Source organism: Homo sapiens, chromosome 7, assembly GCF_000001405.40.
Source record: "Homo sapiens chromosome 7, GRCh38.p14 Primary Assembly".
NCBI lineage: Eukaryota > Metazoa > Chordata > Mammalia > Primates > Hominidae > Homo > Homo sapiens.
In genome coordinates this window covers 30896908-30910262 of record NC_000007.14, presented here as the reverse complement: position 1 = coordinate 30910262, position 13355 = coordinate 30896908, and the positions used below count along the sequence as shown (strand labels likewise).

At 57.3% G+C, this 13355-nt stretch overlaps 4 annotated features.

Annotated features, from left to right (window-relative positions):
* Window positions 922-1421: an enhancer, noted in NCBI's record as "H3K4me1 hESC enhancer chr7:30948457-30948956 (GRCh37/hg19 assembly coordinates)". NCBI's record gives its function as "activates a minimal SCP1, AML or CMV promoter by ChIP-STARR-seq in naive H9 embryonic stem cells {active_cell/tissue: H9 hESC(naive)}" and the evidence as "EXISTENCE:reporter gene assay evidence [ECO:0000049][PMID:30033119]".
* Window positions 2546-3045: an enhancer, noted in NCBI's record as "H3K4me1 hESC enhancer chr7:30946833-30947332 (GRCh37/hg19 assembly coordinates)". NCBI's record gives its function as "activates a minimal SCP1, AML or CMV promoter by ChIP-STARR-seq in primed H9 embryonic stem cells {active_cell/tissue: H9 hESC(primed)}" and the evidence as "EXISTENCE:reporter gene assay evidence [ECO:0000049][PMID:30033119]".
* Window positions 6429-7231: an enhancer, noted in NCBI's record as "H3K4me1 hESC enhancer chr7:30942647-30943449 (GRCh37/hg19 assembly coordinates)". NCBI's record gives its function as "activates a minimal SCP1, AML or CMV promoter by ChIP-STARR-seq in naive H9 embryonic stem cells {active_cell/tissue: H9 hESC(naive)}" and the evidence as "EXISTENCE:reporter gene assay evidence [ECO:0000049][PMID:30033119]".
* Window positions 7232-8035: an enhancer, noted in NCBI's record as "H3K4me1 hESC enhancer chr7:30941843-30942646 (GRCh37/hg19 assembly coordinates)". NCBI's record gives its function as "activates a minimal SCP1, AML or CMV promoter by ChIP-STARR-seq in naive H9 embryonic stem cells {active_cell/tissue: H9 hESC(naive)}" and the evidence as "EXISTENCE:reporter gene assay evidence [ECO:0000049][PMID:30033119]".

Below are 13355 nucleotides of genomic sequence, written 5' to 3'. Positions count from 1 at the left end.
CCAGCTGTTACTGGCCACCCCTCTGCCCAGCTGTGGCCTGGCTCTTGGGGTGAATTGCCAGGGACCAGCCTGGTGTGTGTTTGCTGGGGCTGCAGGTGGGGAAGATTCATTCCCCTAAGTGCCTGTACAGGACGGTGGTGGCCAGCAGGCCCTGCCTGCTCAGACAGCCCAGGTGGCCGAAGGTCATAAGTACTTTCTTAGCTGTCCAGGAGAGGAAACTGGCCCCACTGGGCTACTTCCTGGGCCCTCCTCTACATCCTTTCCTCTGAGGAGCCCTGGCTCAGCATTCCAGTCTCTGGGAGGCTCCCTCATGCCCCTGGCCCCTGGCCCCTGGCCCCATGCCCTGGCAGGGACACTGACCCACATGAGGAGCTCTCTGGTCAGTTTCAGGGGCGTCCAACCAGAGCTCTCTCTGCAGGGCTAGGATCCCCTCACCTTGAAGTTTTGGAGGGCAAACTGTTTCTCCTGCAGACCTGGCTCCTGAGGGCAGGGGTGGCACCCCTTAGACCAGGGTCCTCTGGAACATGGCCATTTCCCTTCAGGCCACAGGCTCCTGGGCATCTCCCGTAGACCATGTCTACTGAGGGACATACACACCTCCTCCTCCCCTCACCTGTCCCTGCCCTGCTATGTTCTGAGGCTGTCGGGTGCTGGGACCCAGCCAAGAAGACTTGAGGAAAGAAGCAGGGGCAGAGCAGGCACCAGGCCGCAAGGAGCCACTGAACTCAGGCCAGTGTGGCCATGCAGAGTGGCAGAGACAGGAAAACGGGCCTGCATGGACCCAGGCATGTCCCGTGTGTCCATGATGGTGTCCGTGGCTGGGTCAGCATCTGTGCAGCCGAGGACCCATGATTTTCCAGGGGGCCCATGTGGGTGAGAGTCATCTGGAACTTACTAATTTATCCAACATATAGTTGGATAAATGTTTAGTGTGTGTCACATGCCAGACATTGCTCTGTGTACAGGGGAGACAGCCACGAGCCAGACAGACCAGCTCCTGTTCACATGCAGTTTCCATCTTGGTGTGAGGGCCCGCAGGTTAGGTGAGGACACGGTGGCTGATGATCGAGGTATTGCAGAGTGTGTGTGTGTGTGTGTGTGTGTGTGTGTGTGTGTGTGTGTGTGCACTCAGCAGAAGCCCTTGTTCTGCATTGGGGCAGGAGGCCAGGGGGACCAGGGGGAAGTGGTCAGGCAAAGCACTTTTGTCCAGGCAAGTAGGTGCCCACCAATCTCAGGAGGCTATGCGGGTCCTCAGGGTGTCACTCCACCACCCCTTGCATCTCCCAACCTCTCCCCCTTGTGAGTGTGGCCTCTGCCTTTAATACCACCATTATGGTGCCATTCTTTTGGAGGAAGGCATGGCTGTCGCCAGGAGGCGCCACCAGAATGCAGGCACGGCCAGGAATGCCAATACAGAGCTCACGTGCCCACCACCTCCGAGGGGCCCTGTGGCTGTTACCCGGCCATGTGGCTAAAAAGGGGAAAGGCTTGCCGCTGGAGCCCCAGGCCCAGGGACGTCTCCAACCCCTCCGCCTCCTTTTCCCTGATCTGCCACAAATCCAGGCCAACCAGAGAAGGAAGAAAGGAAGAAAGGACACAGTGTCCAGCTGGGGCCTGTTTCCTGCAACCCCGAAAGGCTCAGATTGTAAGTGACTTGCCAAGGAAAGGCAGAGCTGGCACTAAAACTCAGGATGCCCCCATCCCAGAGCCCAAATGCAGTTCTCTGCACACCTGTCAGGAAGGGCCCCCAATGACCTGGTTACCAGACAGAAATCCCAGTACAAAATCTGGGGGCTGCAGGCCCAGAGAGGTGCCAGGATGGGTTGGGGGTGGGGAGGGAGGGAGGGGACAGCCTCCAACAACCCTGTATAATTAGGGTGGTGGGGTGGGAATGGAAGCACCGGGCTAAGAGTGGGCAACAGAGGAGCTGAGGGCAGCCAGAGCCACCCCTGTGGTCCCAGTGAGCCCTAGGAGGCTGGGCTCCAGGGCAGGTACTGTGTGCAGCCCAGCTCTCTTCCAGGACTTCCTGACTTAGCAGGTGCTGTTCCCTCGCCCTCTGCTGGCTCCTGGGTCCTCCCATGGACTCGGGCCCGAGCCAAGCTAGTAAGGGGGCAGCCCCCACCCCCACTTCTGAACCCTGGGCGGGGCTTGAGGCCACTGAAGCTGGGCACTGCCTGGCCCTGCTGACAGCAATGGTCTCGGCAAAGGCTTTTCCAGATGTGCCTCATTCCTGACGTGCCTGGGTGACCCACGTTCCAGCCAGAGCTGGCTGTTCCCAGGACTGTCTGGGCCCCGTCTCCCGGTGGGAGAGCCTTGGGCTTCATCCGGAGGAGAGTGGACGGAGCCTCGGATGTTGGCTGAGGGTCCAGACCTTGGGTGTGGCTGAGGCTATCACTGGCCAGAAGCTTCTGCTAAGTGCAGGGCAGAGGGGCTGAGGCGGGATGGACCATTCCTCTGGGGCCAGCAGGGATTTCCCACCCACAAGCCTGGCTAGGGGAAACAGTGACTTCATTCCCTCCAGGAGGGCCACCAGGAAGATGGAGTTTGGGGTAGGAGGGGACTCAGACAGCAGACTGGTCCTGACCATCTAGTCACCATCAGCTCGCCCACAGCTTGGATGAATTTTCCAGAATCATTCAGGCTTTCCTGAATTGGGGCAGAGAACCCTGATGGAGGGTGGGAAGAAAGGACCCAGTCCCTGAGGCTGCTAAGAAAGGAGGTGGTGAAAATCAGAAAATGCTCCTCCCAGTGAATCCATCCCAACTGACCAGTGGCTCCTGGCTCTGCTTAAAGATCCTGCACAGGGCATCCACTGCCATCCCTCTCCTGACTCTGACCTGCCAGCCCTGGCTCTCAGGTCACCCGCACAGGCCTGCACCCACAGGAGGCCATGGGCCAGACTTGGTACCAGTCTAGAGTGGTCCTTTGCACGAGGCAAGGCCAGCCCTCTCCAAGCCCGGGGGAGCAGAGGAAGGGCCCAGGCCCAGAGCACACAGACCCAGAAAAGAGACAGGATGGCCCCAGGGCCTCTCAAGTTCCTCTGCCTGGAGCTCTCCAGTGGCTGTCCTTTTGAGGTCCTCACCATACCTTCCTGCTCTAGACAGAGGCCCCGGCTCCATACCCCAGGCTGGCCGTGCCTGGGTGCTGGCACCCACACTCTTCCTTCTGCCACAGTGCCATCGCCCTCCTCCCCAGCTGCAGCAGCCCCTCCTGACCCCTCCTTCACAAGAGAACTCTCGGCGAAGGCCAAGGCCATGCTCATCCCAGGCCCACCGTCCCCGAAGCAGGGCCTTGGCCTCTGTGTCTCTGCCCACCATGCCCCGCTGCAGAGCTGAGCACAGGGCTGGGCATGTGGGGGCTGATCCTAGTGGCATCTGCTGACTATCTCAATCCCCCAAGAGAAGAGATAGGCACCCACCTCTCAAAGCCTGTGAATTCCTCCCTGTCTGACAGATAATTCCTGAACATTTAGGTGTCACACGATCTCTCTTAAATCAAAAGCGGATTTAGCAGGCCACCAGTGATTCACCAGAGCTGGAACAATTTAGTAATTTTCTAGGCTACTGCCTCCCATGCACTTCTCTCCCTGCCCCCACCCCCTCCTCACCCCTGCCGCTGCCTGCCCTGAGCACTGGCCAGGCTTACTGTCCTAGGGGTGCAGGGATAATGCTGCACTCATTTCTTTCTGGAAAGCATGGTTTTCTGATGTTTTACCATCAACTCTCCAGCAATGGTCCCTGCTTCATGCCATAGAGGATGAGCCACAGAGACAGGATGGGAAAAAGTTGCCATCAGCCAGGCTGGGGTCCGTGAGGGCTTGAGGTGCTGCATTCAGGGATGGGGGCAGAGATTTGAGAGTCAAACTGAACTCTCAGAATGAGGGTGCCCTGAGGAGGCTGGGCCCTACTTCCACCCCAACTCTGTGGGAAGGAAGTCCAGGAAGGGGTGAATTCACATTTTCCCCAGCCCTGCCCTGAGGGTGAGGAATCCCTGCTGGCCCGAAAGGGCAGGCATTCCTCACTTGCAGAAAAAGCTGGGGGTGGCATCTGTGCCAGGCTGCCAGCCCACACCCTTAGGGAGGGCAGAGCAAACAAGGGCCTCTGCCTGGAGTGGCCTCGGCGCTGTGGGGCCCTGGAAGGAAGCGTCATGTGTGTAAGTGGCTTTGGAGCACATCCTTACGCCGAGCTCCTCCTCTCTCCTAGGCCCCAGCAGCCTCCCATCCTGCTCCTCCCGACCTGGGCTCCCTCAGAAGTCTCCCACATTGGCTTGTTAGATTACAAAGCACCAGGATTGGGAGAGGGGGTCAGATAGCACCGGATCTGACGCCCTCCTCTGGTGCATGGGAAACTGAGGCTCAGAGGGTTTTCTGGTGGGGCAGGGTGGAGCTAGGCTGGAACCCCGGGTCTCCAGTCCTGCCTGGCCTGTTCTGCTTGCCACACCCAGCCTCTTCCTCCTCCCTTCTCTGCTTAACAAGAGGCCACCTCCTCCTCAGGCTGCAGCAAGGACTCAGAAAAGTGCCCTCCCTGACCAGGAACCAAGAGGCCTGGGCAGCAAAAGGAATCCACAGGAGACCCTGCCTTTTACTCTCCCAGCCCCCCAGGACCTGACGTTTTTGCATCTCCAACCAGGGCCTCAGCCAAGATAGAGGCCTGTCAACCCCCCCATTGACACCACAGTCCCTGAAGAGTCAGCAGCCACTGCCTCATGGCTCTGGGCCATCTGCTGGCCTTTTGCGGTTCTCATGCTCCCCTTCCCCACCCCCTCCCACCCCGCACCTCCAGCCAGGTGTCTCCACAGGGAGTCTCTGGGTGCTGGACTCTCTGTCCACTTCTCTCTCTCCTGGAGGCTCCCATGACATCTGTCCCCCGGCGTGAGTCCCACCCTGTCGTTGGTGGCTGCTGCCTCTGCCATCTCCCACTGCATCTTCCTTGGCTCTGTCTCCTCCTGAGAGCGCCGTGGCCACTGACACTGCTCCCACCGCCTCCTGGCCCAGTCTGATCTTCTGGGAGCTTCCGGGTTCAAGCCAGCTGCTTCAAAGGCCAAAGCTTCCCTGGCTTCTTCGGTGTTCCCAGCATGCAAAGCTCAGTGAGTTTCAGCTGAAGAAACAGATGCCCTGCCTGGAACAGTCTCATGTTCCCTCCTGGGCCCAATGGTGGAACGGCCTAGATGCAGGTAGCCCCAGAGCTTTGGTGAAATTCCTTCTTCACTGCACTCAGGGCTGTTCAAACAGGCCTCACCACCAGGACTCATGTATTCATCTTAATGCCAACGCAATTGTAAAATTGAATTTCTAATATCTTAATGTCTGGAGGAAAGGGCCCATGAAGGCCAAAGAACCCTGGCACACAGAAGTCATAATGTGGCCCTGACACCACCGCTGCCACCACCAGCACCAGCCAGCAGCACACAGGGTGGGGCTGGAGGTGGGCACACTCCAGCTGTGCTCACATGGACCGTGCAACAAGCTCCAGGTGGAGGGTGGGTCCCTAACCCTCTCCTCCCTCAGGATGAGTCTGCAGTCCCTGCCGCAGGCCCTGCCAAGTCACAAGCAGGCAATAGACCTGGCAATAGGCCTGGTTAACCCTTCCTCCACCTCTGACAGTGCATGGGCTTCATGTACACACAAACACATACTTGCACACACACGTGCACGCGGACAACACACATCTGCACACACACGATGTACGTTTCACACCCGTACATGTGTGCACACATATACAAATGTGTGTGCCTGAACATACACATGTGAGGACACGCATGTGCATACATGCACACACATGGAGCAATGCACACTGTGGTCACTATCACCCTGCCACCTCTGAAGCCCTGTGCCATGTACACTGTGGCCTCCACCACCTGCAGCCCTGAGCCTGTCTCTCTGGCCCCTCTGAGTGCTCACAGCGGTTGCCACCTGTGCTGCCCCTCATCCAGGGACCTCCCTCACCTCCTGTCCTCACCGAGAGCTGAGTTTAAATGGCAGAACAGAGAAGCTATGGGTGTTTCTGTGACTGCATTGCTTCCTGGGCCCCCTCTTGGGGCCCACTTTGATATATGTGTCCTGGTCTCTATCTCCAGACGGTACCCCAAACCCTGAGTAGGGCAGAGACTAGGCCTGACCCAGTTCTCTATGCACAGCCAGGTGGGTGGGGAGCAGGCTCCATGTTCAGGCAGCTTGGGAAGGTGTTCAAAGCTGAACGGGACCTGCCATCTGCCAGCCCACCAGGCACTGTTAGGAAGGTACGCTGGGCCACCAAGAGCAGGGATGGGGCAGGGCCACCTGTGGGGCAACACTCCTTTGGTCTTTCTCCCCTAGGATGCTGTGGGCAGGGGCTGCAGTGGGTGAGGCCTGGAAGGGTGGAAGGAAGGGTGGGCAGGGCCTACCGTTGCCCCTGTCCACCCAGAGATCCCCCTCCCTCTGAGGTCCATCTGGTAAATCTATTCATGTGAAGCCAACATTCCTGGAGCCCACAGGGCCAGCAAGATCATCTCACATGGACAGATCACTGTCTCACCTAATGAGAAAATGATGACATGGTCCCCTGCCCTGGCCCCCTGTCTCAGCCAGCTCCCAGCTCCCCAGCCTCACCCCAGCACACACACCTCCTGCTTTATGATGTTGCTCTACAGGTACACAGGTCCTGGGAAGCCACCTCACAAGCCCCCCATGCCACATCCTCCAGGCCTTCCTGTCACCAGAGCGTTGGAACATCACAGCAGCAGGATCTGCAGGCCATTACAACCCCATAGCACCAAAATAAACTGAGGCCATGGGCTCAGTTAACTTCCCCAATGTCATACACAGCGAACCAGTCTCGACCTACTCCTCCCCAGCCCCATAAACAGCAAAGTGGCCGCCGGCAGGGCATGCAGCAGAGCAGAGGACTTGCCTCATGACCGAGGCAGGACCCGTGTCCCCACTTCCTCCCTGAACACCCCACTCCAGGCTGGCATCACGGGGGCCTTTGAAGAGCCAGGGCCAGATGTGGTTAGGGCTGCAGGGCCTGGAACTCAGGAAGCCTGGGTCCCCACGCCAGGCCCAGGCCTGTGAAGAAGGCTAAATACAGCAGCACTAGCAGCCACCTGGGTGTGGGGGATGAGGGTCCTTCCCCAAGCCCTTGGTGTTCGAGAACCAGAGGCTTTGGAAGTGGCCATTTTTCAGGGCTAGCCAAGATGGAGGGGCCTGCCAGGCCTGCATCATGGGTCTGCCCTTATCTCCTGCCCTTCTCTACCCGCTGAGCCTGAGGATGGGTGGACAGAGGAGGTCCAGGCCCTAGGTTCGAAGGCTGGAAGGGTGCCCAGACTCACAAACACCTGGAGTGGTGGGGGAGAAGCTGATCAGGAGGGCAGAAGTCACAAAGCCTTCCAGCAGGAGGCAGAGCTTGGACTCATGGAGCCTGGGGATCTGAAGGCCTCGCAAAGGCAGCCTGGGAGCACACATGTTCAGACTCTGGAATCCCCCGGAGGAATCCCTGCTGGAGGGCCACTAACCCCCACGTGGGTGCTCCCCTGGTGGGGCCCTGGTCATTTTCCTGGGCAGCTGGTCCCACCGTGGGCCAGCTCCGAAGGCTGCTCCTTACATGTGGCTTCCGGGAACTCAGCCCCCTGTCCCAGTGCTTCCCTGCAGGCCGCAGATCCAACACTTCCTGCACCCTCCACCTAGTGACAGCTCTTGGAGCAGAAGCGGGACTAAGGACCCACTCCCTGGGGCTGCAGCTCCTCAGGCCAACCACTCCCAGGTCTCTCGGGCCCTCCTTGCTCCTGCCTCGTCCTGGCGACAGTACCTGGGCCCAGTGTGACCACCTGTGATGTCCCATTCACCAGGAGTGCACCACACGTGTGCATGCACGGACAAGGCATCTGAAGAAACAGTTGCCCTGCCTGGAACAGTCTCGTGTTCCCTCCTGGCCCAGGAGCAGAACCCTGAGGGCCCAGTGCCATAGGAGGGTCAACTTAGTCTGTGAGGGATCAGCCAGCTTCTGGAGGGTCCCGATCCTGGGGCACAAGCTCGCTATCTTCCTCATCCCTACAGACCACAACACAGAGGGTCCCCTCCCACAGCCTTCAGTAACTGACCCTGCCAGGGAGCAGAATGAGGAGCAAAATCAGAACAAGGGCTGGTTTGGAAGGGATGGGGCTTGGAAGGGGTGGGGCTTGGAAGGGGTGGGGCTTGGAAGGGGTGGGGCTTGAATGGGGTGTGGTGGGGCTTGAATGGGGTGTGGTTGGGCTTGGACAGGGCTTCGTGGGAGGCCCCTGGTAGGGAAATTGGGATAGGAAAGGGGAAGAGGCATCACAGGTCTTAGTTCATGCAACTTTGATTTAAAAAGTTTTTTGGGATTCCATCAGTGCTTCTCAAACTATAATGTGAGCGTAAACACCTGGGGGTATTGTTAAAATGCAGATTCTGATTTAGTAGGGCCGTATGGGGCCTGAGATTATGTATTTCTAACAAACGCTCAGGCGATGCCAATGCTGCTGGTCCCAGAACCACACTTTGAACACTAAGGGACTGAATTACAAGAAAAACTCCTAACAACAATCTAGTGAAAATAAAACCAAAGAGAGGAAGGAAGCTGCTCGTGGCATCACAGACAGATTGCCATTCAGCATCACTTTCCATCTGCGCTTCCTGGAAGTCATGGCAAGAAAGGAAAGAAGTATTTACCAACTCTTACTCTATGATAACAGAGACAGCTGCCTATCACCAATACGAAGTCTTTTCCCCAATTCTGGCCGTCCAGGAAATTGATCAAGCAGATCTTCCTATCAGGAGATTTGAAAAGCAGGCTGTAGCAGGGCTTTTGATGGAAAGGACTCAGACCGGCACCTCAGTAGGGTGAATCCCTGATGCGGAGTCATCATGGTTCTGATAACACAGTGCCCCGGTGCCCAGCCTGAGCTAGTGCCAGGGTCAATGCCCACAGGAAACCATCCTTCCATCACTTACTGGCTCAGGCACTAGTGGACTCAAACGCCCCTGCCGATGGAGGAACCCTGGAGCTGTGATGCTCTACCATGCTGCCCTGGTGTGTAGGGGTGGGCAGCTGGGACCAGGCCTGAGCCACAGGAAGGGGTGAGGTGGATCTCTGGGCAGCGGAAGAGCCCCACCTCTTTCCAGTAATCGGGAAAGGCTTCCTGGAGTAGGGAACATGGCAGACAGATTTGTTTGTATAAAGGAAGGGAGGTGGTTTGGGAAGAGGAAGGTCCAGGCAGAAAGAGGGCCAGGAGGGGTGGGCTTTTAGCCACGGCAGGAGCAGGGGAGGTTCCCTCACTGCCCCTCTCCCCACGGTCGGCTCTGACTCTCAGGGAGGAGCTGGTGGAGCGGGGATGGCATGCTGCTGCCAGGATGTGGCCACGTGAGCCTGTCTTCTCTCCATAGCCTGAATTGGAGCCATGGGGATGCTCTGCTTCCCACTGCTGGGTTGGTGCAGACGAGGAGGACAGGCTCTGCCTCGGGAGCACCCAGGCTGGGATGTAGAGGTAAAGATGTAGGGGCTCTGCCCTCAGGGAGTCCTACACCACCCAAGTCCGTCCAAGTGGGAGCCAGGGCTGAATGAGAAGCTCAATTAGGGCCTCTGAAGACAACTGTGAGAACAGTCACGAGCAAGGGAGGCCTGGCAGCCTCGTGCCATGAGGCCCTGGGGAAGTCACTGCTCTGGCCTGGGTTGTTCACTCCTAAAACAGGTTTATCCCTATGACAGGCCACCCCAAGAGGCCTTGGGCATCATCACGGCCTCAGGCAGGTGTCAGCGTGAGCACTGCTGAGTCCCACAGGTCTTGGGTTCTCAGCCTTCCCCACTCTCACTTCTTGGGGACACGTGCCTCTCTTCCTAGCCTCCTTTGTGGAGACAGCAACGTGCAGGACCCAAACGACTTTCCAGAAAAGGAAATGGAAAATCCTTAGATAAATAAACCCAAGATGTGTCTGCCTTAGCTGGGAAGAAGGAAAAAGTGCTTGGCATTTTCTGTGGTGGCCTAGAGGCGATAGGAAGTGGGTTTTGCAGGAGGCACTGGGGCTGCGTCACGTCCCCGGGCTGGCTGCCTTCTAGGTGGGCCAGACAGGGGCACTGACCCATCTCTCCCTCCGGACTGCTTGTGAGGGGTGAGGGGAGGGGTCTGAATTGAAGGAAAGGCTGGGTTCTCACACAATAGCACACGGGTATAGAAACCAAGACACTCACAGATTTTTCCAGAGTCCCCAAAATAAGTCTCAGGAAATAAAGGAAGATAGGAGAGGAGGGGCTCCGGGAAGCCCCACCCTCTCCTCTGCCCTGCTTGGGGGCCTTCCAGAATCTCAGCAAATCCTCTGGGAGGCGAGGAATGAGCAGGGAGAGCTTGGGCACCTGCCATCTGTTAGCCTCAGGCCCCGAGCCAGCACCTGGCTGGCTGAGCCTCAGTTTCTTTATCTGTCACCAGGGAGGTGTGAGTGCCAGGCTCGTTAGGGGCTGTACACAGTGTCTGTCCCTGTTGCCCTCGATCTCAGTCTCAGGAGTGGTCACTGCTGGGAATGCTGGCCCAGTCGCTGTGCAGGGAGGGCCTCCTCATCCAATCACCTCCTTTCACAAGCAGGGAACCAAAGCCCAGAGCAGGGAGGAACAGCCTTAAGGGGGCAAGCAGAGAAGAAGCCATTTATCCAGTTGGCCCAGGAGCAGCTATGGGGCCTGGAGAGCCAGGGAAAGGAGAGGAGGGCCTTGCCTTTCAGGGCTGGGTTTGGAAAGGTACAGGGAGGGACTGATTTCCAGGGATCAGTCCACAGAGACAATGCCCAGCAGACCTCACTACATCACAGCATCTCATACGGTCACCCTTCCTGAATCTCAGTGAGGTGAACTTGCCCCAACCCCCACACCCTCCTATCAGCTCATGGCAAAAGAGCCAACATTTACTGGGCACCTACTAGGCGCCAGGTGCTCTTCTAGGCACCTTACACTTAATCCTCACACCAATCTTATATAGTTTACGCTGTTATTATTCCCATTTTACAGACAGGGAAACTGAGGCTCAGAAAGGTCACTTTATGTGTGTGTGTGTGTGTGCATGTGTGTGTGTGCGCGTGCGTGTGTGTGTGCGTGCATGCATATTTTGTAACTTAGCTACGGTGACACAACTGAGAGGTTGGAGCTAAGATCTAAACTCAGGTGGTCCAAATTCCAGTAGAAGCTTGTAATCACTTCATCATCCAACCCAAGCCCCTTTCCTCACAGACCACACCCTGCGGTAGGGGCAGCAAGGATCCCCAAAACCAAGAGAGAGGGAATGGCAGACAGACTTGCGCCTCTGATCCACAGGTCCAGGACAAGGGCCCCCAACAACAGCAGACACAGGAGGAGGTATGGGTCTCTGTTCTGGGGCTGGGAACTCACTTTCCTGCCTAATAAGAGATTCCTGGTCCTCAGGAGATAAACAGTCTCCATAATGCCAACTGGGACCCCCAAGAGCTGGGGAAACTAAGTCTCTCCATGGGTAGGGGGCCTACTCAAGACCACCTAGGGACTGAAAATCATCCTGCCAGCCTGGCTGTCTTCCGCAATGGACTTGGAGGTGGGAGCCAGCCAGTCCAGCTGGCCCAAGGTCACCAACGGCATGGAAAACAATAGACAGTGGGTCCAGCCATGGCGGGAGCCAGAACAAAGCCCTGGGCACTTCCTCGAATTGAGGCCCCCTCCTTCATGGTTTGCCAAGGCACGGGGGCAGAGGAAGCCTTCCTTCATCACGTGGCGGGGATGTTTTGCAAAGATGCTCTAGGGACAGCTGCAGCCACCAGTGCTGACGGAGAAGCAGGCAGACGGAACCGCTGCTGGAGGCAAGATCTGCCTGCCAGGAAGCAGGGAAGAGAGCGGGGACTTGGGTGCGGGTCCATGGGCCCACCACCTTGCTCCTTTGGCTGAAGCACTAAAAGGCAGGATGTCTCTGGGAGGCCTGCACAGGAGGATCGCTTGAGCTCAGGAGCTCGAGAACAGTCTGGGCAACACAGAAAGACCTTGTCTCTATTAAAATAAATTAAAAAATTAGCCAGGCATGGTGGCACACACCTGTAGTCCCAGCTACTTGGGAAGCTGATTTAGGAGGATTGCTTGAGCCCAGGAGATCAAGGCTGCAGTGAGCTGTGATTGTGCCACTGCACCTCCAGCCTGGATGACCCTGTCTCAAAAAAAAGAAAAAAAAAAAAAAAGCAGGCTCTCTCACACCGGATCCTCCTCTCCATGGCCCCAGCTAAGAAGTTAGCGTCTTCCTTCTGATCTGTCCTCCACATTGTTGCCACATCAGTCTTCCCAAACAGCTTGGACCCATCACTGTCCTGCTCTGAAACCCTCCATGGCTCCCTAGTGCTCACAGCTCAAGCTCCTTAACCTGACATTCAAAGCCCTTCAGGATCCAGCCCTGACATCCTTAACCTTCCCACCACCCCCAGACTCCCCAGGCCCCTTGCCCCTGACAACCCAGACCCTCTGCTTATCTGGAATGCTCTCTGCCCCTCCTCCCACCCACTTTCCTTCAGGGTCCAGTTTCAATCCTCCCCCTTCAAGAAGCTTTCGACTGCTCCAGCCCACCAAGAGGATTCCCCTCATCTGAGCTCCAACCCCCAAATACAATCCAAGGATCTGAACCCGGAGTTTGAAGGGCACGGTGGTGGGAGATCAATCAGTAACAGAACAATCCTCCCGCAGACTACAGTTCCCGTGCACGGCAGTTCCTGATTACAAAACTGTCCTGATATAATTATTAATAGCACTCCTCAGGGTCAGTCCTTGTGCTGGGGAGGGGAGGGGAGGGGCAGGGCCCAGGAATGGTGCCAACCCTGGGCTCCCCACAGAGCAGGCCACAGGGAGGTGGACCCGCGAGTGCTGTGCTTATCATGGAGGGCTCCGTGGGGAGGTGGGACTTTGCTGAACCTCAGACAGGCCTTAAACAGAAAATGCCAGAGAAACACTCAGGATCACCCTTATCAAGGGCCACAGGAAAGGCGCCAGGTTTAATCTCAAAGCCACACCTGGAACCAACGGTTTGGAGCCTCAGGCAGCACCTTCCCGCCCTGACACCCAGCTGCCGAGGCTTTCTGCCTGGAGTGGGTGTGAGCAGGGGAGGGGCCTCAAAGTGGGCAGAAGGAGCTTTGGGCTTGTCCCCCAGGGTGGGACAGGTACCTGGGGGAGGGAAAGAGGCAGGGAGGAAGGAGCCCCGGGCCCAGGGGTAAGGAAACAGCACTAGAGGTGTACAGGGGTGTGTGTGCATGTGCTTATGTGTTTGCTTGTGCATACACCTGTGGCCAGGTGACCGACACCCTCTAACTATTAAGACCTAGGCTTGTGAAAGAGGAGGTGATTGAGTCCTGTGAGCACTCAGAGGGGAGGACTTGAACT